Source organism: Homo sapiens, chromosome 5, assembly GCF_000001405.40.
Source record: "Homo sapiens chromosome 5, GRCh38.p14 Primary Assembly".
Lineage (NCBI taxonomy): Eukaryota > Metazoa > Chordata > Mammalia > Primates > Hominidae > Homo > Homo sapiens.
In genome coordinates, this window is record NC_000005.10 from 117,537,272 (window position 1) to 117,564,214 (window position 26,943).

The 26,943-nt window shown below is 33.5% G+C and overlaps 1 long non-coding RNA gene across 1 annotated transcript in view; it reads left to right on the forward strand.

Moving 5' to 3' along the window:
- The window catches only part of LINC00992 (long intergenic non-protein coding RNA 992), a 164,233-nt gene that overhangs the window by 121,760 nt on the left and 15,530 nt on the right, over positions 1-26,943 (forward strand). Inside the window, exons 4-5 of the long non-coding RNA NR_046089.1 lie at positions 8,828-8,925; positions 18,375-18,509. This is a non-coding gene — a long non-coding RNA (long intergenic non-protein coding RNA 992). The remainder of the gene's footprint in view (positions 1-8,827; positions 8,926-18,374; positions 18,510-26,943) is intronic.

A 26,943-nucleotide genomic window follows, 5' to 3' on the forward strand; every position in this document is an offset into this window, starting at 1 on the left:
GCTATAATATTTATTTCTGTTTTTAAAAAAGGAGGTGTAACAAAGCTGGAAGTTTTACTAAGTGAAGGGTTTTCTCAGAAAAGAAAATGGAAAAAAATCTTGGGAACGGAGGAGTTGATCAAAAAAGTTTAGTCTACAAGTCCAGGGAGGATTTGTAAGCTCTCAATCTGATAGGATTTGAAGATAAAAGGAGTAATTCAGTGAAGAGGTTAGAGCAAATAGTTGATTATTGTTCCACTTTGTGTAATCATGTAGTGGCTTGGCCTTAGGATGACCTTCTAAAGTTTAGAGAATCTCGAGAGCAAAATTGTACCAGGGGGAACTATAATAGTTAGAAGTGAAAATTCGACTTTGCTAGTCTAAGGTTCAGCATAAGGGTGAATTCTAGCAATTTTCCATAATCATTATTCATCAAAGACCACAGACTTAACCATAGGGCTATATTTGAGGTCGACAAAGCGGAGAAGACACAGACCCTAGAAATAAATCAGAGTATAGGTGAGGTGGGTGATATTTCAAAGCCATATGACAAAGATTTTTTGTTATTGTTTTTCTTCTTTTTTAAGCATAGAAGAAAGACAGCATTCTCAAAGCCTTCAGAGGGAGTTAGTCATTTAAAGCAGCATCTGACAGTTCAGGCAAAGAGGTCACGGGGAAGCTACTGATCTGAACAAGTGGACATTAGATTGCTGCGAAGAATTAGATATTCTTTACAGACTCAGTCAGGTCTGCACCCTACTTTTAGTGGCTTTAGTGACCCATGTATGATCCAGTAAGATGACCTTCTATTCCAAATGTGTTATTCTTTGAGTAGATTACACACTTTTCTAAGAGTCTCTGCTTACTTGCTGGGAGTCGATACAGTAGAAAAAAGGAAATAATGGATTTAGCTAGGAGCTGGAAATGATGGTGGCTCCATTTTAAGACAGAGAAGTAAAGAAGCCCTCAGCACTGAATACTGAAGAACGTATGCCAGTGGAGCCCATACGCAATAGTCCTTTACAAAGAGAGGACATCAGAGTCACATTTTCTTACTGCACATGTTACTTGATGATTGTGATAAATTGTTTTTTTTTTTTTAAACTGCAGTCATGACTAGACAAGGAAGAGATCATTTATTGAAACTTCCGAAATAGTCTGACCTTCCCCTAAGGCTTTGCTTGTATACATATGTTCAACAACTCTCATGACTTAATAACTAATCTTGCCACGTTAATCTCAGCAACAAGTTTTCGAGGCTACTAAATGTTATATATTAAATTAACATTGTAATATGACACTTTATCCTATATTGATTTTTCTCATTGTTGCAGAACAACACAGTTCCCTTTAGTGTTGAAAAATTCCCAGATTCAGAAAGAAAAAGCTGTAGTCATGTCACCATGATCCCTTGGGGTCAGAGATTAGGCCACATCAATAAGCCTAACGAAAAAACCGTTGTAAATTAAAACATAATAGAAGGAAACAAGATTGCCTCCTCTATTTCAAGTGACAAGAAAATGAGGAGGAATACCCCAAAACTCCAGAGTTATGAATTATTCCTACACTTTAGTAAAATAAAGAAATAAACATTTTAAAATGATATTGATTTAAAGATGGCTGTGTTCACAGTATCGATTAGGATGGTTTGTGTGCTTAGATTCTTATAAAGTGAGACTGATGAAATTGTTCCATCAGTTCCATGATATATAACATGGCCTGCTTTATATATATTCCATATATATATGTATAAAATTTATATGTATGCCATGTTTTGTATAATATATAAGGCCATATTATATGTAAGTATATTATATGAATATATGTAATATATATTTATATAGAGAGATGGGGTCTTGATCTGTCACCCAGGCTAGAGTGCAGTGGCGTGATGACAGCTCACTGCACCCTTGAGCTTTTGGGCTCAAGTAATCCTCCTGGCTCAGTGTCCAAAGTAGCTGAGACTACAGGCAGATGCCATCATACGCGGTTAATTTTTTTTTTTTTTTTTGGCAAAGATGGGGTCTTAATATGTTGCCAAGGCTCATGTTAAATATTTCTGTATACTCACCTATTAATGTTTCTCCTTTCAATGTTGGTTGTATTCATTTGTTAAGCTTTGGGTAATCATTTTTATTTTTGATGTATATATCAAATTTTAAAGGTAAATAAAATGTGCATATAGAACATACACATGGTGTTCATGAATTCCTTAGATCTTCAAGTGACTTTATTAAGAATCCTAATTTTTACAGATAATCTTTTTAAAAAAATTGTGCAGCATTTAAGGATTCCTAGAGTAAAATCTGAGATGTGCCATGTATGGATTGCTTGAACTTTGATTATTCTTCCTGCTGCTTTTTAACTTGGTAGGTCCTGTTAATAATTGAACAGGTCACTGTGTATATAGAAAATGTGGATAGGAGTAAGAGAAGAATAAGGAGTGATAGAGAGATAAAGGATCAGTGGAGAGAAAGCAGAAGGTGTATATAGTAAAAAAGTATAAAATAAACCAGAAAACAAGCAAGAAATGCAAAGTAAAGAATTTTAAATAAACTTTGGCTCAAAATATTGTGTCTCTCTAACATGCTACAGAGGAATCAATTTCTAGGCTGCTCTGAAACCAGGATGTGACAGGTGGCTGATCTCCACCCTCTAATAAATCCAGAGCCTCAATTATGGATTGAATTCCTGTCATTCCTTATATTTTTTGTTTACTTTTCACAAGAACTAAAATCAATGGTGTGGTGAGAAGAAAAAATGAGGTGGAGAATAGGGAAGAGAAAATATTATATCGACTAAAGACTATTTCATACAGATTTCCGACTCTCTTAAAAGACCTTGTCCTTCAGCCTGAGTCCATATCTTCTAATGATATTTCTTTTGAGACAGGTGGAACTCACACAGGAAGTAAGAATGTTATTCTAAGCTCATCTCTTTAATTTACTAATTTGTGTATGTTAAGCCCATTTTGAAGAGTACTCTTGGGTTAAAATGTCTTTGAGGTTATACTGCAGGTACCCAAAACAGGGTGTGGTGCTTTTTTGTTTGTTTGTTTTTTGTTTTTGGAGTGGGGGAGAGAGAGAGACACAGAGAGAGAGAGAGAGAGAGATTAACTTCTGACCTACATGGAATTATTTCTGGTCCTAAGAACAATTATCAAGAGGTTAGGGCTTTCTGAAAAGCTGGTTATTGACACGATAAATAAAAGCAGCCCCAAGGTAAACATGTCTGTGTATTTCAAAGTATATAAAACATACCTGAAGAATACAGATGTGCTTTCTTCTAAGATAGCCCTTGAAACACGGAAATTTATTAGTTCACCTTTGCCAGCATATGCTAATGATCAACTATTGAGATACATATTCTATTTTCCTTAGACAACCAATGAGCAACTCTTTGGTGTAAAATTATGGCAGACCAGTTTAAGAATTATTTGTCTGTTGTTTTATTCTAAAGAAATAAGGCATGACTGAAAGGCAGACACCTAAGTCCATAGAAGTCATCCAAATGTTTTTTTAAAAACATATTTGTTATACTTCTAGGCTTGAAAATAAGCCATGGTTCATGTCCCAAAAAAGCAAAGAATTCATGACTAAGACCTCAAAAGCAAATGCAATAAAAACAAAGTAGACAAATGGGACTTAATTAAACTAGAAAATTTCTGCACAGCAAAAGAAATTATCAACAGAGCAAACAGACAACCTGCAGAATGGAAGAAAATATTTGGAAACTATGCATCTGACAAGGAACTAATATCCAGAATCTATAAGAAGCTGAAACAACTCAACAACAATAACAGTGAAAACCCCATTAAAAACTGGGCAAAGGACAAGAACAGACATTTTTCAAATGAAAACATACAAATGGCCAAGAAGCATATGACAAAATGCTCAACATCACTAATCATGAGAGAAATGCAAATTAAATCCACAATGTGATATCTTACACCAGTCAGAATGGCTATTAATAAAACGTCAAAAAATAACAGATGTTGGCAAAGACGTAGAGAAAACGGAACATATATATTCTTGATGAGAATATAAATTAGTACAACACTATGGAAAACAGCATGAAGATTTCTCAAAGAACTACCACTACTGGTAGTTCAAGAGATCCCACTACTGGGTATCTACCTGAAAGGAAAAGAGATCATTATATCAAAAATATAACTGAACTCATTTGTTTATTGTAGTACTATTCACAATAGCAAAGATATGGAAATCAACCTCAGTGTTTATCAGTGGATGACTGCATAAAAAAAATCTTTCATATATACACATAATATACGTATATACATAATATAGGTATATACGTATATACATAATATAGGTATATGCATATATACATACATATAATATACGTATATACGTATATACATACATATATACGTATATACGTATATTATACATGCATATAATATACGTATATACATGCATATAATATACGTATATACATGCATATAATATACGTATATACATGCATATAATATACGTATATACATGCATATAATATACGTATATACATCTACACACATACATATAATATATGTATATACATCTACACACATACATCTAATATGTGTATATACATCTACACACATACATATAATATATGTATATACATCTACACACATACATATAATATATGTATATACATCTACACACATACATATAATATATGTATATACATCTACACACATACATATAATATATGTATATACATCTACACACATACATAAAATATATGTATATACATCTACACACATACATAAAATATATGTATATACATCTACACACATACATATAATATATGTATATACATCTACACACATACATATAATATATGTATATACATCTACACACATACATATAATATATGTATATACATCTACACACATACATATAATATATGTATATACATCTACACACATACATATAATATATGTATATACATCTACACACATACATATAATATATGTATATACATCTACACACATACACATATGTATATACATCTACACACATACACATATGTATATACATATACACACATACACATATGTATATACATATACACACATACACATATGTATATACATATATACACATACACATATGTATATACATATATACACATACACATATGTATATACATATATACACATACACATATGTATATACATATATACACATACACATATGTATATACATATATACACATACACATACATATATGCATATACATATATACACATACATATAATATATGCATATACATATATACACATACATATAACATATGCATATACATATATACACATACATATAACATATGCATATACATATATACACATACATATAACATGCATATACATATATACACATACATATAACATATGCATATACATATATACACATACATATAATATATGCATATACATATATACACATACATATAATATATGTATATATATACACATACATATAATATATGTATATACATATATACACATACATATAATATATGTATATACATATATACACATACATATAATATATGTATATACATATATACACATACATATAATATATGTATATACATATATACACATACATATAATATATGTATATTCCATGGAATACCACCCAGCTGTAAAAAAGAATAAAGTCATGTCTTTTGCAGCAACATAGATGGAACTGGAGGCCATTAAGTGAAATTACTCAGAAATAGTAAGTCAAATACCACATGTTCTCGCTTATAAACGGGAGCTAAATAATGTGTGCACATGGACGCAGAGTGGGGAATAACAGACCTTGTAGACTCAGAAGTGTGGGAGATTGGGAAGGAGTAAGAGATGAGAAATTACACTCTAGGTTCAATGTACATTATTTGAGTGATGGTTACACTAAAAGCCCAGACTTTGCTGCTATGCAATGTATCCATGTAACAAAATTCCGCTTGTACTCCTAAATTTATGCAAGTTTTTAAAAAATTTTTATTTTAGGTATAAGCAAAACAAAACAAAGACACTAAAAATAAATAAACAAAAAAATAAGAGAGCAGGGTCCAGTTTTCAGATAAGAAGGCAGTGGGGGACTTGTGAAAATGCTCATCATCACTGGCCATCAGAGAAATGCAAATCAAAACCACTATGAGATACCATCTCACACCAGTTAGAATGGCAATCATTAAAAAGTCAGGAAACAACAGGTGCTGGAGAGGATGTGGAGAAATAGGAACACTTTTACACTGTTGGAGGGACTGTAAACTAGTTCAACCATTGTGGAAGTCAGTGTGGCGATTCCTCAGGGATCTAGAACTAGAAATACCATTTGACCCAGCCATCCCATTACTGGGTATATACCCAAATGACTGTAAATCATGCTGCTATAAAGACACATGCACACGTATGTTTATTGCGGCATTATTCACAATAGCAAAGACTTGGAACCAACCCAAATGTCCAACAATGATAGACTGGATTAAGAAAATGTGGCACATATACACCATGGAATACTATGCAGCCATAAAAAATGATGAGTTCATGTCCTTTGTAGGGACATGGATGAAATTGGAAATCATCATTCTCAGTAAACTATCGCAAGAACAAAAAACCAAACACTGCATATTCTCACTCATAGGTGGGAATTGAACAATGAGATCACATGGACACAGGAAGGGGAATATCACACTCTGGGGACTGTTGTGGGGTGGGGGGAGGGGGGAGGGATAGCATTGGGAGATATACCTAATGTAAATGACGAGTTAGTGGGTGCAGCACACCAGCATGGCACATGTATACATATGTAACTAACCTGCACAATGTGCACATGTACCCTAAAACTTAAAGTATAATAAAAAAAAAAAACAAACAACAACAACAACAACAAAGAAAAGAAAATTCTTACGTGTTCTTGATGATATTATGCATTACATTTTTTACATTCAATTGAAGCACAAGTAATTAAGTGATCAAGCACATGCAGAGTAGAAAGTGATTGCTTTACGTTAGAGAAAAGCCAAGGGGATTTGTGGCACAATCTGGCATAGGATTTTGTATGCTCTGATCACCATTTTCTACTTAATTTTCTTTTAGAACTGTTAGAGACACAATTAAAATAGATTCTCTCAACTCCCCAGTGTGTGGATAATTTTACTGCCTTTTAGGCCCAAAATGGAAAGCCTGAATTGTTGAATGACATTTACGTTGATAGATAAATGTCTCTCTTCAATTGTGGTATTTCTATCATTTCTAGTGATTTCAATAGCACTGAGATACAAAAGGACAATAAATCTGATAAGAAAAGTAAAAAAACATTTCCCCTCATTACTTTTTACTTTTTAACTCCTTCCATCTCCTACTACCCAGGCTAAGGCCAGCTATAAGTTGTAGATAATATAATTAGCCTCAGATGGGAAAGTAACTCTGTCTACCTAGAGGTGAGAATGTTATGATGTTCCATTATACTTCGCAGTAACAATAGTAATAATAGCATTGCTACAACATCACAAAATATGCATGAGTACAATACAATTATGTGTGGCAATATCATTTGCAAATATATGCAATTTTTTAAATTATTATACTTTAAGTTCTAGGGTACATGTGCACAACGTGCAGGTTTGTTACATATGTATACATGTGCCATGTTGGTGTGCTGCACCCATTAACTCGTCATTTACATTAGGTGTATCTCCTAATGCTATCCCTCCCCACTCCCCCGACCCCACAACAGGCCCTGGTGTGTGATGTTCCCCTTCCTGTGTCCAAGTGTTCTCATTGTTCAATTCCCACCTATGAGTGAGAACATGCAGTGTTTGGTTTTTTGTCCTTGTGATAGTTTGCTTAGAATGATGGTTTCCAGCTTCATCCATGTCCCTACAAAGGACATGAATGCATCCTTTTTATGGCTGCATAGTATTCCATGGTGTACATGTGCCACATTTCCTTAATCTAGTCTATCATTGATGGACATTTGGGTTGGTTCTAAGTCTTTGCTATTGCGAATAGTGCTGCAATAAACATATGTGTGCATGTGTCTTTATAACAGCATGATTTATAATCCTTTGTGTACATACCCAGTAATGGGATGGCTGGGTCAAATGGTATTTCTAGTTCTAGATCCTTGAGGAATCGCCACACTGTCTTCCACAATGGTTGAACTAGTTTACAGTCCCACCAACAGTGTAAAAGCATTCCTATTTCTCCACATCCTCTCCAGCACCTGTTGTTTCCCGACTTTTTAATGATTGCCATTCTAACTTGTGTGAGATGGTATCTCATTATGGTTTTGATTTGCATTTCTCTGATGGCCAGTGATGATGAGCATTTTTTCATGTGTCTGTTGGCTGCATAAATGTCTTCTTTTGAGAAGTGTCTGTTCATATTCTTTGCCCACTTTTTTATGGGGTTGTTTGTTTTTTTCTTGTAAATTTTCTACAAAGAACTCAAATATATGCAATTTTATACTCCATAAGTAATTGTTGTACAAATAAATTAATCTTAAAATTTATAAATTAGTTATTTTCAAATATTTTTCCTTTTTAATCTCTTTAACAAATATTGGGATCTCAAGATGAGCCAAGTGATAATCCAATAAATTATATGAGTAACTAATTTTGCATGGCTTAGTGAATGACAGAGGCAGAACCAAAAGCAGCTCCATTTTCTTCACCTGTGCTGGATTCTGTGGCCTAAGCCAGTGAAAAACTAATTTGCAGGTTATAGTTGTTAAAATTGAGTCTTCCCTGAGTAGTACTAAGGCCCTAACTCCTACTGGGGCTGAGGAGGTTATACCATTTTTCCCATACTTTTAATTCAATAGTCGTTTCTTCCTATTTTCAGTTCATCATGGGTCCTCTGGAAATCTCCTACCTTTGTGAGCAAAGATTACTGCAGGGTGGAAGACAGGTCCATGATTGCCCAGGCTGCAGTGCAAGAAGGTGAGCACATTTCAGTTTATCTCCCTACATTAGAAGGAAGAAACTTCTAGGTTAACAATCAGATGCATCTTCACATCCTAATGACCCCAATAAGATTAACTTTCACTTTTATATCTGAGTCAGTGCCAAAGGAAATGACAGTCTCCCTTCTCTTTTTGAGAAATTCATTTGTTCATGTATGCAGCTGAGTTTTTGGGTTACCTAGTATGTTATAAGGATTGTGAGGTGCAATGAGCACAAGGGTAAGCAAATGAGCTATCACAGGTCCCTTACATGTGGATTGTATGTTTGAGTGGGGAGGACAAATCTCCACACTTGGAGTAGTAATTACTACTCAGAGCCAATTACTCATTACCAGAATCACTGTGCTTTAGGCTTTGATCTTTGCTAGCATATATCTTCTTGGGTGAAATAAGTTACATCCCTCTATAAAAATCAGTGGTTAGAGTCATTGGTGAGAGGCAAGTTGGCAAAAGCAACAACCAACTTCTGAAGCTGCTGTCTAGCTGGGTACTTTCTCAGATTGTAGACTCAATAGTAGTTAGATCCCCAAACATTTGCACTGACATGCTATGTTACAGTTGCAACTGGTCTGGAGCCCGTGTGCTGGTCTAAAGCTTTTTCAATGCCTCATACAGAAAATGAGGAATGGATATTCTGAGACTATTGCTGTCCTTACTTGCAATTGGAATTCATGAGGCTCTAGTTTTGAGAAAAGGAGAAACGCTGAAAATGGCATGCCAGCTGGCCTTGATTCATTATTTACCCCGGGAACACTGGGCTTTAAGACTCCCCTGAAGCTCATAGCTGTCTCTCTTAGCAGATGTGTGAAACTTCAGCTCTTCCCATGGTAGTTTTGCACTATGACAATCCCTGAACACTGCTGTTACCACTGTATATGAACACTGAATGAACAAAGACATTTTCTACCTGAGTAAACCATAAGCTCAGATTTATTAAAATGCCAAGAGGTTAGTTATTATGGGAGATTAACAGAGCACTGCTGATCCTATTTTTTTAAGCAAGAAGACTTGATAGCTAAAGTTGTATGCCTCCTGAACTTACATGATTATTGCCCTGCTCCAATCCTTCATTTCAATGCAGGGTTCTTACAGCATCAAACAGCAGTTCTGTATGACTAACAGAAAAGCTAAACTTTGCTTCCCCTCCTTCCGTACTTTACCTGTATAAGAATGTTTAGATGTTTTCAAGTATGAATCATGAATGTTCTGAACTTTGGGAAGGTAACAGGTCAAATTTTAGGGTGTGTACATGTTCTCAACAAAATAGAAGTCCTATCACCTTCTTCACAAGGTAAAGAGTAAATTCACCTTCAGATCAATGCAAAATCACTGGAAAATAGTCATTGAATGGAAAATATATTTTGTGTTGGGCTGATAACCTACAATTTGGTGGGAGAAAAGGCTCTTAGTTGTTGCAGCTCCCAAATTTGTGGTATAAATACTTCTATCATGTAAGTTTAACAAATGACTCACCATATTCCTAAATACTTAACAATTGGCTCTTGCAAGCTATTATCAACTGGTTCCAGTAGAGCTTTTCTAAACTACATATTTCCCACTTAGGGAACAAATTGACCTCGATATGACCTAGTTTACTGTTTTTGATCAATTGAAAATAATTACAAAGAGATTGATTCTCCCTGTCCATTTGGGTGGAAATTATGCAGGAATTGCACCCTTCTGTTCAGGTTTCCAGGCCGCTAAAGCATCCCCCAAGGATACACTTATCCTTGACTGGGATATACTGTGCTGAGCTTATGAACTAAAGAGATGTCAAAGTCAGATACACAGAAAACAAGACCAAACTGGGCTTCCAAGAAAGGCACCTGAAGGAGTAATAATGGTATGAGATATAAAATCAAATGGACATCAAGAATTGTAAAAAATTCACAGGATGAGACAATTCATGCATTCAACACTAATCAGTTTTTGCCCTTAAGGACTGTATATTCTTATGGGGACTGGGGAAACCAATAAAGAAATCAACGAAAACAGAAAGAACAGAGATAGGGAAATAACAATATATGCAATAAAGAAAATTAAACAAGTTAATAAGACAATTTGGGTTTAGATGAGGAATGCAGAGGAGTCCTTTCTGAAAAAGTAACTTTTTAAACAAAATATTTCAGGTGGCTGTATTAGCTTTCTATTGTTTCTGTCACAAAAAAGTACCACCAAATCTTTGGATTAAAACAACACCAATTTATTTTTTTACAATTCTTGTGGTCAGAAGTCTAAAATCAGTCTCACTGGGCTAAAATCAAGGATTGGGAGACGTCTATTTATTTCACCTGAAGTTGGAAGTGCACTTGACTATTACATATTGGCCATGTATATTAGTGTTGCTGGAAAATTCCTTTTTATTTCAGTAATACATCCTTACATTGTTTTAGATTTTTCCTGCCTAGAATTGCATAGTCCATGAGTAATATTATATTATTATCATCCATTTCAGTGCTGATAAGTGACAACAAAAGGAATGACTTTTGTTTTGTTTCATTTAATGGGTTGGTACCTGCAGTGCCATGCTGAATAGAAGTCATCATAGGGAACAAACTAGGGCCATTCCCAGTCACAGGGGGAAAGAATCCAAGTTGTCACCATTAAAAATGATGTCTAGTGTAGATTTGAAAACATGCCTTTAAAAAGTAACATTTGAATCAAGCCCTCAGTGATAAGACGGAGCCAACAAACCAAAGATTTGAAAGTGTCTATTAGGTAAAAGTAACAAAAAACCAAGTACTTTGAGGTGGAAAATGCTCAGTGAGTTCAAGTGGCAGCTACTGTGGCTACAGCCCACTGCATGAATGTCAAGAAGATTAGTAGAAGATGAGGCTGAAGAAATAAGCAGGGGTACATTGTTTAGGGCCTTGTATGCCATATAAAGATTTTGTGTTTCATTCTAATTTTAATAAGAAATCGTTACAGTCTTTAAAGCAATTGGTGATATCTGATCTATATTTTCTAAAAGATAACTTGTTTTCTATAGAGAATGTAGATGGCAAAGGAAGTATAGAATGGATGTATATGGGCTAATCTGGAGGAATTCAGAGACAGACTCCTATGGTTGTTTATTATACAATCCTGGCACGGATTTGCAAATAAGTAGTTCTTGTCAGGGGCAGAAGAGGTACAAAAACTTTGTTTCAAAAAGAATGGACAATGTCTACATTGAAGTAACATAGAATCACAGCTTTTTGGCTTTCTTTTTTTTTTTTTTTTTTTTTTTGCTTAACTGAATGCGATAACACCAAGTGCCAAGGTCTCCTGCATAGCCAGTCCAATTCAGCCTTTAAAGTTAAATGCTTACATGGAAAGGAGCCCATTTCAACCTTTATATTGATGGCTGCTACTGCAAATGATTGGTTTGGTCAGCAAAAGGCTAGCAGAAAAATGAAACTTGTAAACTTTCTGACAAATAATGGCTCATAGTACAAAGAGTAAAGTTTAATGAGTATCTTTTCCCCCAAAAAAGTAAATTAAAGAGGAACGACTTATTTTCTCTTTAATTGGGTAAAAAGCTCTTCATGTGATGACTTTCATTGTGTACCACATGGGCAAACATTTCATGAATTCACCACTGATTTAGAACTTCGTAGACAACAAAAGTATTTCCTTCAGTATGTCTATTTATGGATTCTAAATTTCAGTAATTAACCAAGAAATAAAATAAACCATTTTTAATTAACCTGAAGATAAAACCCTTAAGAGATTCTTTTTTCTATAAAATTTTAAAATGATTCCTTATAATTATTTAATTATAATTACATAGAAATAAGGTTTTAGATTCTATTTTGAAGCATACTAATGTACCTCAAAATGAATTGTTACCTATAATTAAGAGTCACACTTGCACAGTAACTTGCAAATCTTGCCCGTGCTGAGTTTTCAACCTTGTCATGATAATGTTAATATAATGGTGATAAAATGCAGCAGCTACCTGATGACTTTGAAGTAGTCCTCTTTACAGAGTAATTTCTTATATATGTCTATAAATTAGATATAAGATGATTCTTTTTGCAAGCAAGTTTATTGCATTAAGCTGTTTCAAACCTATTATCAAAGACCAAAGGTAAAAAAGTAAATGGCATCTAGTAAAAAAGTAGATGGCAATAAATTTATTTCACCACATTTAAAATTAATATTCAGAATTAGTTATTGGCAATATGTACAAGGGCATACATGAAACACATACACGCATTATAGACAATCTATTTTCTGAGTATGAAATGTCCTTCAAGGAATCTTGCATGCAACTTTTTGTTTACATCATTATCTTCTAGGTTAATTCTTGCTACGAATAGTAGCCTGAGATTCATAACACAGTAACATTTTTACTATTGGCTAGGCAAATAGTATCAGAATTCTGATAGGGTAGAATCAGAAAGGGAGGAACAAAGAGGGAGAGGAGGAGGAGAAAGTGGAGGAAGAGGAGATCATAAAACAGTAGGAAGAACAAGAAGAGGAAGAAGAAGAGAAAGAGGAGGAAGAAGATGAGGGGAAGACAGAGAAGAAAGCAGCAGCAGCAGAAGAAAAGAGAGCAGTGGGAACTGCTATACTAGTTCATTGGGTGAATCCAAAAAAGTGACATTAGCGTTCTTCCTTCTCCAAGATGAAATCAGGATGGAGTGGTAACTTTCCAGCCATCCTTATGATAAGACATCAAAACTTTGTTTAAAATATACCAATTTCCCATAATGTCTGATGGCCATTTTTCATATGTAAGCTGCAGAAATAATTTTTAGGTCAAATATAACTTGGGGAGAGATTTTATATTATTTAGGATTACACAACACTCTTCTGTTTATGAGAAGCAGAGGCTCATTCAGGTTATTTCAACAATAGAAAATGTATTGTATGGATACATCCAGAGCACATGTGTCAGGTCTCAGAGAAACCTGGTGAAATATAAATATCTGGGCCTCCCAGCAAGAACAGGAGCTGCAGGACAACCATGCCTCATGATAGGTTCCCAGGTTCCTTGAAAGTTCTGCTGAATACATTATTTTATCATCCCCTCAGCAGCAGAATTTCATTGCTTTTCCTCTGCTTCTGTCAGTACCAATCAACTGGTCCTCTTTACTTTCCTATTTAAACCCCCTCATCCATTTTCCCTACCTGATTTTCCATTTAATCACCATCTTCCTTATTTCAGCAGAGCTTTGGCATTCTGCCACCATGAAGGCCACTGGCAAACCTGTGCATGAATTTTGTTATGGGCTACTTGTTACAACTGTGCAGTCAGCTGTGGCCGGGAGGCTGGCTTAGTAGTAGTAGCAGGCTCTCTTCCATGTGGACCATGGGAGTGGCTACAGTTTGGATGTTTGGCTTCTCTGGTCACCAAATATTTGAGAGATGATTCTGATTACAGCTTTGAAAGTTTCCACATTTCGGAATCTTAATATATAAGATATATATACATGTATGTAATAAAATTATGTATATACAATAGATATGTAATAAAATAACATATAAGATATATATATGTAATAAAAGGGGAAGGATAGAATCAAATAGAAAAATAATATATAAAGTTATCATGGCAAGCCTATCACAATGAAAACTGAAATGTCTCAAGTAAGCAAGTCCTTGACTTTCTGAAAAACCTCACATTGATTAAGTCATTCACTCATTTAGTTATTCATGTTACACATGCTATTGATCTTCTACTATATTTCACAATCTCAACAAACAGGTTCCCAGACCCTACTTCCAACCTCTCCCTTTGCCTTTAGTGTGGCCTAAGTTGCTTTATGAAATGACATGCAATTAAACTAAATACATGAAATTAAATGGTGATGCGTATTTTCAGAGATTACATGACAGAGGCCACATTAGAGAGTGTGCTCAGGGAGGCTATCTCTGCTACTTGTGCTGAGACACAAAGAATGAGAAGGAACCAGCCTAAAGCAATAATGTTCAATGGCAGCATTCAATTTTGCAGTGCCCCATGGTGACAAAAATTAATAGAATGCAGTTTTTAACCCCACCTTTTCACCTAGCTAATTCACTATGTACAGCAAAATATGGGTCCAATGGAAAAGGCATGTGAGGCATTTTCTTCACATTAGTCCTTTAGTACTGCAATGGTACTGTTACAATAAGCCACTCGTTGGCTTGCTTCAAATGTTTCTGTAATTTGGGAATAAGAAAAGAAATTGCCACCTGGAAGAGAATATTTTTCAGGAATGATAGGACAGCCCATACCACAAAATTATACTAACAGCAGTTGAGCATTGATCCATCTGGAATCTTTAAACAATGCATCTGGCAATTTACAGGTAATAACTTGCCACATTTGACAGAAAAGGTCATAAATATTTCTTATTATTACCAAACAAGACACCTGTGAGCTCCAAGCTAATACTTATAAATCTATGGGCCATATTGGCTGGCTGTCCTGAAGTAAACATAAAGTCAGCTAATCTTACAAATTGGAAAATGCCAGAAACACAGCCAGAAGAGAGAATATTTGTGAATAAAAGTAGTCTGTCTTATGATAAGATGTAGTTGGATTTCATCTTAAGTCAGTCATTGATATTACAATCTGTGATATTACAATCACAGATCCCTGTTTTTCTGGAACTCTCCTGGTTTATGCCAGTTGCCTTGGTGTATTAAAAGGTAAGTTATATTGTCTCCCTAGTCCTAACACAACCGTCCTCCAGAAAACAGAAAGATAGAGTGAGAAAGAACTGAAACATAACTTAGATTTCCAACTCTCTTAAGAATAGAAAATAAAAGAGTTGTTCGTTTTACTGAGGATACCACTTCCTTAGTCTCTCCTGCTGCATTACTGGCTCAGGCTGAAGGAGAGCTCTCCCAAAAAAAAGCAGGCTAGCATCCTGATATACATATATACACACACACACACACACGCACACATATATATATGTGTATATATACACATATACATGCATATATACATATACACACATATCTCTATATAATATAGAGATATCATAGGTTATATATCATATATGTTAGCTTGTCATATATATGATACATATATGATAGTCTAACATATATATGATAGGCTAAACTCTGTACTCAGCTAAGTGCAACTGCTCTAATGTTCTTTCTGAGAAGTAATGCTGGCCTACTAACATTTTCTGAATCCTCAATAATACAATTCTTTTTTGAAAAAGCAGTAGATGTATTGTATACACACTCCAAAAGCACAAAGAAAAAATTATTTATAAAAATGTCAACTAAAGACTAATTTTATAAATATCAGGAATAACTGTATTAAGCACAGAAATTTAAATTCTTCTAACTAAAATGCATTAACTTAATATGATGAATTCTAGTGGATGTGAAAATTATCAACTCATCAATCATTTGAAATTTGCAAAGAAAAGGTTTTTGAAAGAATTCAGTGTCACTAATATCTCTTTTTTTAAAAAGATAAAATTTCATTGTTCAATTCCCACCTATGAGTGAGAACATGCGGTGTTTGGTTTTTTGTCCTTGTGATAGTTTGCTGAGAATGATGGTTTCCAGCTTCATCCATGTCCCTACAAAGGACATGAACTCATCATTTTTTATGGCTGCATAGTATTCCATGGTGTATATGTGCCACATTTTCTTGATCCAGTCTATTGATGTTGCACATGGACACAGGAAGGGGAACATCACACACCGGGGACTGTTGTGGGGTGGGGGGAGCGGGGAGGGATAGCATTAGGAGATATACCTAACGCTAAATGACGAGTTAATGGGTGCAGCATACCAGCATGGCACATGTATACATATGTAACAAACCTGCATGTCGTGCACATGTACCCTAAAACTTCAAGTATAATAATAATAAAATTAAAAAAAAAGAAAAAAAAAGATAAAATTTTATTGCAATAAACAAGTTTCTTCTCATTACAGACTAGTTTCTCCTTACCTTTTTAAAGTTCTATGTTCCCTAAGTTTTGAGCTTCATTTTCTTTGCATCAAATAACTTATTTGATAAGAGTGGCTAGCATTTTCTACATAACAGAAATCAAGTCAGGCAGGGCACAGTGGCTCACACCCATAATCCCAGAACTTTGGGATGCCAAGGTGGGTGGATCACCTGAAGTCAGGAGTTCAAGACCAGCCTGGCCACCATGGTGAAACCCCATCTCTACTAAAAATACAAGAAATTAGCCGGGTGTAGTGGCAGGCGCCTATAACCCCAGCTATTTGTGAGGCTGAGGCAGGAGAATCACTTGAACCTGGGAGGCAGAGGTTGTAGTGAGCTGAGATCGTGCCACTGCACTCCAGCCTGGGCTACAGAGTGAGGCTCTGTCTCAATAAATAAATAAATAAAATAAAACGAAATAAAATAAAATAAAATAAAAGTCATTTAAATTTCAGGATATGATTAGCAGAATAAATTGAGGTAAACCAATGGTAGCAAAAGCAGATTAAAACTACTCAAAATAATTCTTTTCCTGAAAAAACTTATACAAATGGTCATGAATTCAGATTATGGGTTAAATAGTGAGGGGAGTTGGTGAAGTTAAAAAACAATGTATTAGGAAGCTAAACTAAAATGTATATAGTTTGTGTGGTGTTCTTTGAAAATTACATCAAAGCCATATTATCTATATGTGCATACATCTTAGCTAAAATCCACCCAGGAGGTAAAGAGAGAGAAGAGTACTAATGCATTAATTATCCCTTTGCCCCATTTAGAAAAACATGTTAGTTAGTATTGCCTATTTCATTAACACCCTAAGATAACCATGCAATATCCGAATTTCACACGTTTAAAAAAATTTCTGTGTTCAGGGAAGCAAAATTGAGAACGTATTTAAATATTCATTATTAAAATTAAAGTGTAGGGTATTTGCAAGGTTTTAAATGGCTATCTTCCAAAAGAGAAATATAATTAAAAACTTGATTTGTGGAATTTAAAACATTATTTTACTTTTAGCTATTAATTGTATCTGCCTTTATATCTTTTCAAGACCATCCTTATCTCTATATGTATACTTCTATACTGCTTTTATTGATGATATTGCTTTAATTGGTTCTTATTAAAGAATAATTTTTATCCATCCATTAAAGAACATCCATTAAAGAACAATTTTCAACCTTAGTCTGTAGTGCTACTGCAAAGTAGCACTTTCCTTGAGGAAAGCAAAGTGTCTTTGAGGAGAGAGAAGAATCTCCACCAACTTCTGATTTGATAGGTCTCCTAAGCCTTGTCTTGATTGATGGCAAGATGAAAGCAATACCTGTTTAATATACCAGAAGCATGCATTCCCAGGTGCAAGGGGCCCTTCATTCTCATGTTTCCAGAAAATGCTTTGATTTTATATAATGGCTGAGTATTTTATCCCATGTCAATGGATTAAAAATTTGAAATCATGATAACAAATATAATTGAGAGTTAGTAAAAATTAACCTTTGGCATCATTCATTTCCCTATCATTTCTCCCTCCACAGTATGATGGCACCATATCTCATCTTGCACCTCAATGATCATCTAACAAGAATCCTTCTGCAGATCCCATCTAAAATTACATTTCCAGGCATTCCACATAACCGGAGGAAAAAAAACATGGATCCTATGGAAAGTATGTAAGTAAGATAGACTTCAGTTTGAATCTATTCTGACACCTCTGTAACATTAAACAGGGTGTTTTGGCTCTTTTACTATGAGCTTTCTTATCTGAAAGTAAGAATAGTAGCAATTTTCTTTTAAACTTGTTGGAAAAGTTAAATGAGATATACGTTTAAATCACTTTTGTGTCTGGCACATAGTAGGTATGCAATATACAATTAACTTTTCTACTCTCTAATCCAACATATCCACCTTGATTAATAAAAATGCATTTATCTTGGTGTACTAATATGTGAAGTGGGTCTTTAATACCTTAATTTTTTTTCATGAAACATCAGAATTAAAACTCCAAAGCATCACAGAATCTATAATTTATCCACATTTTTACACATTCCTAAACAGAATTTAGTTTTACTTTTTAAATTTTCCATATGTTTGAATGTATGCAATTATAGATTTGAAACGTATGTATATACATATATAAATCATTATCTTCAAATTTTAAAATTATTACTTTCAATATTTCTTCATAGTTCATAGTTGTTGCTTTTATAGTTGCCTAACATCCTCTTTTACTGTTATTGGAAACTTACCACTATATCCAGAATTTACCACAATAAATAATGTTGCTATTAAAATTTTGTTTTATATAATCTTTTTCAAAAATTCTAAGAAGCAAAATGACTGAACCAATCTGGGTAGTCACTATCTTTTAAGTGGCCCTTGATAGCAGTATGTGAAAGAACAGTGAGTTTTTCTCAAAGGAGTCATGTTAAACTTGATGTTCAGTTAACAATGTGTTTCCATAGGGCTTAGAGAAAAACCTTATAGCAGCCAGTGCCTTTGACTTCTTGAATCCTTCACCCATGTATACAGCTGACTGTCTTACTCATGAACTTCCAAGTAAATCACAATATAAATCTGGAATTACTCTACAAATATGGACCTCTATGCCCAGTGGAAAATAATTGCCACAATCTTTCCTCTAGGATAATTAATGTTGTTTACATATGTAAGCAACAATACTTATCTTCAAAACACTGAATTCTGAAGAGTTCCATAAACAACAATTTTTCAAATAAAGTAATGTCTTCATAAGCAAATTTACTTATTTATTTTCATCATTTATCTATTTTGTAGTTTCATTTTGGTTACTGTTAACACCTTCACTTTTATCTAAAAAGTATGGCATCTTCCTAATGCCAGTTTTTAATTCAGAGTTTCAAATCATTCAGAATACTGAGGATTATTTTGTGTAAAAATAAATTGCCCATATCATGCGTATTTCATTTCCTTGGTACAAGTTTCTATGTTCAACCCTGTTAGGACATGTTTGACTTCTCTCTCTTGATTTATGTCACTTTCTTTTTCATTCTCTGCAAAGCCCTCTCGCCTTCCAGCCTTTCCCACTCATTTGAGAATACGAAGGTTTGATGTAGGTGAATTGGCCTCCCTGAAGACGAGGAGTTTGACACAGATTGCAGAAACTTTCCTCTAAAGTTGTATATCATATGAAGAGTTGTTAAAAGAAATAGCTGCCTAAAGTATCTCATTTCACATTACCTGGAGAGGGAGTTTTCGTCAGAAACCATCATATTGATAGGTGAAAATACATTGCCCAGCATATTCACCACGACACATTATATATGCTACTCCCATGAATAATTGAAATTGTATCCCACAGAGTTAACATTATTAGCATTCAATTGAGCATATGACAGTAGATTTAGAGAAAAACCTCATTCTGAATATTTAATAATAATATTTAGCATTTTTATGGTATATTATATTTTCAAAGTGAGGTATAAAGATTTATAATGAATTAGTGATCTCCATGGGATGTACCTTGGAAGCATGTCTAGCTCGTTCTGCCCATTTTACAGTTGAAGAAACAGAGGACTTGCGAGATTAAGGGATTTGCTCAGTCTATCTCTGTATCTTCCTTTTACTGAGTTCTGCTGGCAGAAGACATCCACTGTCTTTTAAGGGGAAATTAAGATAAAAATGTAATATACAATGTTTTGTATTGAAATTCAAATATTCAAATAGCACTGACAATGGCTCCTTACTGAAGATGGCATGTGAAGCGAATAACACTGGCTTCTTAATTCTTCCAAAGTCTTCAAAAATAAAGATGATTATAAGTAGGTATTTGGCAGGAAAGATAACTGTAGAGTCATGGAGTTTTGTAGTGAATTGCCCTGGCAATTCAGGTCATGAGGCTTCTTAGCCAAGAAGCAGTTCTATAAACTGATATGTGGGCCTGCTACAATACATAAAATTAAAGGATTCCCCTGGGCATCTTTGTCTACAAGCATATTTCAAAGCATTTTGCACTTTGCCATGATAAATTTGATGTTGAATATTACAAGGTAGCCAGGCATTCAAGGGAATTAAAAACATTTCTAATTTCTGAAAAATAACAAAATGAGAAGGCAATTTTCAAAATATTTTCAGTTTTCACTTCTAATCAAGGAAAAGAGTCTAATGGCCATTAAACATATATATCCTTTTTAGTTAACTTTAGTGTGTGGTTTTTTTTGGCCAAAAAATGAAACTATTGAGAATATATTCCATTTTAAAAACGTTATAATACTATAAACAAAGGTATATTTGAATAATTTTGGCAAATGTCAGGGTCAAGCAAAAATGTGTTTTTAGACAATGAATTAAGAATTATAATAGGATTTTGGAAACTGAATGTATGAGTATTAGTATTAGTATTTCCTCCTTTACAAAAGCACATATTGGGGTATGGAATGACTTATTTATTGTCACAGAACTGATTGGGGCAATGGTCAAATCACAATTCTGATTATTTAACCTTTACTTCTTTACCTTTTTTTTTAAAACTGTTTCTTTATCTCTTTGATTCTTGATTGGAATGACAGAAAATTAAGAATTGTCTTTTTTTTTGAGACGGGGTCTCGCTCTGGTCACCTGTCTTTTTGAAATTAATTTTTATCTTTTACAACTAGATATTATGAAGTTAAAATACCTTTTACTTAAAATATAAACTCATAGTAATGGAAGCTGATTGTGTCAACCGCCTTCCTTCCACCTCCTATCCTAAAATTGTAGTGATTCTCTATTGACTACAAAAAAAAAATTCCTCCCATTTGGTTTGAGGATTAAGACATCTCCTTATTTATCCATAAACATTTATTAATTTACCTTTGATTCCCATTGCCAATCTGTGTTCTGGCCACATTGAATTATTTATTTGGAGTTTCTTTTTCTAATATTTCTGGTTCCCTGGTTTTTCTCATGTTCTCATTGCACCAAATTCTATTTGCTTTCTCTCCACACAGAGTAAATCTGCTCAGCAGCAAGGCTAATCTTACGTTTTATATCTTCTGTGAAGTCTTCTCTGCACCCCAGAGCAATAAGTGGGCTCCTCCTTCTCTGAAGTTTCTGAGCTCTCTAGCTAGAGCTTATCCATTTAGTCACATACAACCTGCTGGACTGCAGACGCCGCAGGTTAGAGTTCTAGCTGATTAACCTTTCTACCTCCAATAGTAATCCCAAAGTCTAATGCTTTTTCTTCATTCATTCATCTACTCATTCATTCACCCATTCAACTAATAACTGCTTTAAAATCCTCTGGGTAATAGGCACTGTCTGATTAATGAGTAGTTACTCAATAACCATTTTGTTAAATGAACAAGAGTAAGCTAACAAAGGTCAGTTTGAAAGGACCTAGAAGTCAAAGAAGTTTATCTGGCAACAGAAATAAAGTAGACTCATTTATTAGAATTAAATGCAGATTAGTAATATTGCTGGACAAATTCCTAATGGATATAGATATCCATATCTACCTACACACACAACACACACACATACACACACACACACACACACACATGGCATAGATTCTTTTCTTTCCTATCTTTGACATAACATGACTGACTGACAAAGCATAACATAACTAGCTTTTGTGGCTCAGAATTTACTTTGAAAGTTAACATTTATCTGAGTTTTGAAGGGTTGATTTTTATTGCCCTCCATACAGTTACTTTTCTGTAGGTAAAGCAGCTTCCTGTGAACCTAATAAAAAATTCACATAAGGCAGATAAAAATATGAATAATAGCTATTTAAAGGTGTATATCAAACACATGAAAGAAAACTTAAAGACTTCAGAAGAAAATCTTTTTGTGTGACCAAAACAGACAAAAAATGGCCTCCAAAAATATAAGTAAAAATTACATAGGAAGAGTTATAAGTCAGAATATGAATACCTATTATATACATCTATATTGATACGGATAGCTATATAAATCCAACAATTATTTTCAAATATCTTGATGTCTATATGCTAAATACCCATATTATATGCAAATTCATGCCATTAAAAATTATAAAATATATGTGCTAAAATTTTCCAATAAAATTCTTTTCAAAAATTTTTTTTGCTGTTAAAAGATGACAGCATAGCTAGAATATAATATCTGGTACCTTTCACAGGCTTCCTTAAAGATTAGTAAGAATTCTTCATGGTATACATCTCGTTAGCAAACCAAAGCCCAAAATATGAGTTGTTAGGAAAAAAGATAATCTTTAACTAGCCTATTTGTTCTTTTTTGGAGGGAGAAAGAGCCTAGGGGATTGTACATCAGTGCTGTAAATTAAAAGGGAATTAAAAATATTATCAGAGTTGCACACTTGCTGTCAGCTTAGAAGTGAACAAAGCTCCCTGTTAAATGAAGTGTGCTTGTTCTTACTTCTTTCTGTGAACTGAATCACGTTAATAGAAGTAACAGTTTGGTAGGTAGGAGCTGGGCTATTGATTGTTTCTCCACAGCGTTGATTGCAAACTTTGAAAATTTGGCCTCATTTCTTCAGTTCACTGGGGAATTGATATTATCTAACCCTTTTACCAAGTTCATATATGAATGTTGTAAATAAGGTCATCATAAATTTTATTATCTCTCTATTTTTTGAAATAGTAAATTTAAATCTCAAAGCCATGTCTGAGAAGGTGAAACTGCTTCTTAAAACTGAGTAAATTTGGTTATATCTTTACTTTAGTGATTTATTTTTCTTCCGACTAGTCATTCTTCCCGCAATACTATCTTGGCCATTTGTTCAATATAGATGAGACCTGAGTACCTCAGTATATGATTTATTTACTTTTTCTTTTCTACTTATTTTCCTATCAATTTCTTAGTCTGCTTTCATATTTACCTACCAGAATGTGATGTTACTCCAGCACTTCCAAGCCTACTTGTAATGATTGTGAACTCTATCTGCACCTTATAACCACATATTTAACTGATTCCACATATTCCACATCAGATTAAATTTTCCATTGTCTTTTGTTACTCTATTTCTTGTTTCAAATTCAAGATCATCCACAAATTTGCAAGTCACACTGGTAACGTTATCTGATCACATCCTTTTCTTGTCCTTTCATTACTTAAAATGCTCATGAATGCAAAGTATGTTGGCTTCTTGGTATAAGAGACTGTTGTCTTGTCTAAATGTATCTCAGGATGAAATAAATCTAAAAAGAAGAATCCTTACTTACCTTTGCCTTACCTTATATTCTGTAATACATTTTATATAATGTCAAAACACAGGAGTAATAAGTAATGCTAAATTGTCCATTACCAGTACAGCTACATGGTTTCAGTTGCCGTTTCAGGAACAAGAGAATTAAGAAAAGTAAAAGATGATATTAAATGTTTGCCTAAAATTTGAAAGTAAAAACAGTCAAGTGAGAAGGATAGTGATAATCTCTACAACCCCCGACACACATTTACCTGTGTAACAAACTTTTACATGTAGCTCTGAACTTAAAATAAAAGTTAAAAAAAGACTAGAGAAATAACTATTTTTGAAATAGTCTTATTTAGAATCTCATATTAGTCTAATGAAAGATGACGCTAAAAATACAAATTATTTAGCATTTTGTTTAAATTATAATATGCATATAAAATTACATCATTCATAAGTGCACACATCAGCAAATCTTCCACAAAGCTAAAACACTCAGGAAATAACAAGTCACATAAAGAAAGAGAATGCTGACAGTCCCCAGAAACCTCTATTGTGTTTCCTCCCATCTATTACCTGCGCTGCAAGCTTACCATATTCTGACTTCTATTATCATTTGATTACTTCACTGGTTTTGAAATGTATATAAATGTTTTTCACCCAGTATCATATTTTTGATTCGTGCATTTTGTTTCCTGTAAATATGGTTTGTTCATTTTTATTGACATACTTTTTTCAGTGAACAAATATATCAAATTTACCCTCTCTTACAAATAGGCATTTTGGCATTTTTAGTTTTTGTCTATTAAAAATTTTTCTGTGAACATTTTTATTTATGTATTTTGGTTAAACGTGTGCATTTTTATTTGGTGTGTGTGTGTATATATATATGTATGTATATGCAATCTCACAATGTCAACAATTTTTTTTTCCTTTAACAATTGACTAATTCTAAAATCTACATAGGCAAGCAAAAATCTTGGAATTGTCAAAACAATTTTGAAAAAGAAAAGCACTGTTGGAGAATTTATACTATCTGATTGAAAGACTTGTGGAACTACAGTAATCAAGATTTATTTTATATACATTATGTAGAGAGATAGATATATAATATCTAAGATTGGAACTGCTGAATTACTTAGAATGCATATGTTCAGGTTTTTCATTTTCAGTTGAAAAGGCAATTATTTGTTTGTTCACTTATCTTGACTCCTTTAGTCCAAAATTTCTAGCCTTATTTCTAGACTATTCTGCCCCATTAAGATATGCGTATTAAGAAAGACATTATGTAATAGGATATATATATATATATATATATGGCCTTTCCCTGCATCCATAGCCCAATATCTTGGTTACTGTAGTTCCATAAGTCTTAAGTTCCATAAGTCAATCAGACAGTATAAATCTTCAAATAGTGCTTTTCTGTTTCAAAATTGTTTTGACAATTCCAAGTCTTGTTTGCCTATGTAGATTTTAGAATTAATCAATTGTTAAAGAGAAAAAAAAACCTGTTGAGATTGTAAATGAGATTACATTAATTGTATTAATCAATCTGAGCAAAAATAACATCTTAAAATTGTTGAGTCATCTAAATCATAAGCATGGCATATGACGCCATGATTTTAGGTCTTCTTTAATTTCTCCCAGTGTTTTTTTATTTTGCTTTGTTTTGATTTTTTTCATGGAGCAGGCCTTGCACATATTTTGTTAAATTCTCCAAAGTATTTTGTGATTTTATTATGTTATTGTACATATTATTCAATTTCAATTGTTTGTTGACAGTTATAGAAATACAATTTTTTCTATATTAATTTTCTGTCCTGTGACCTTGCTCTGCTTCCTTTTTAGTACTTTTTTTTTCTAGATTCCTTTGGATTTTCTACAGTCACAATCATATCATCTACTAATGAAGAGTTGTATTACTTCCTATTCTCTATTTTATATGCATTTAATTTATCTTCTTTTCCAATTGCATTGGGTAAGTGCAATGTTGAATAAGAGTAGTGAGAGCAGATGTCCTTGTCTTGTGCCTGATCTTAGGGGGAATATATTCAGTTTTCTGAGCTTGCACATGATATTGGCTTTTTTCATAGCTATCATGTATCTACTTGAAAAGTTTGGTTTTCTGTTTTTTAAAACCGTTTCATTATTAATAGGTGTTGATTTTGTCAAAGTTTATTTTTTGTCTACTGAAATTTATTTTTCCTTTTATAAAAATTGTAATGATTTTCAATGTTAAAACAACCTTGCAGCCTTGAGATGAGCCACAGTTGGTCACAGTTCATTAATCATTTGAAATATTACTGAATACTCCTCATTAGTATTTCGTTAAGTATTTTTAAATCTGTTTTCACTAACTGTATTAAGGTGTAGTTTCTTATCTTGTAATTTCTTTGTCAGGTTTTGCTACCAGGGTAATTCTGACTTCATAACATTATTTGGAAAGTGGTCCCTCTTCCAGTATTTTCCAAGTTTATGTAGAGTTGGTATTATTTCTTTAACTGTGTCACAGAATTTACCATGAAATCAATTGAGTAAGATAATTTTTTTCTAGGGAGATTTTTAATTGTGAAATTTATAACTTTTCTCTCTGTGTGTATATAGGGATATATAGGAATATTTAGATTTTCTATTCTTGAGTTAGTTTTAATAATTTTTTCCCTCAAATTTATTGGCATAAAATTATTTCTAACATTTTCTAGTTGTCCTTTCAGGATCTATGCTTATGTCCCCTCAATTATTCTGATATTGGTGACTTGCTTCATGTCTCTTTCTTTCCTGATAAATCTGGTTGAGTTTCATTAATGTCACTGATTTCAAAACAAGAGCCTTTTGTTTTATTGATTTCCTCTATTGCTTGAGTACTTTATATTTTATGGATTTCTGCTCTGGTCTATTATTTTAGTTATCCTTTGGCTTACAGTCGATTTTGTTAGCACTTCTTTTCCTAGAAT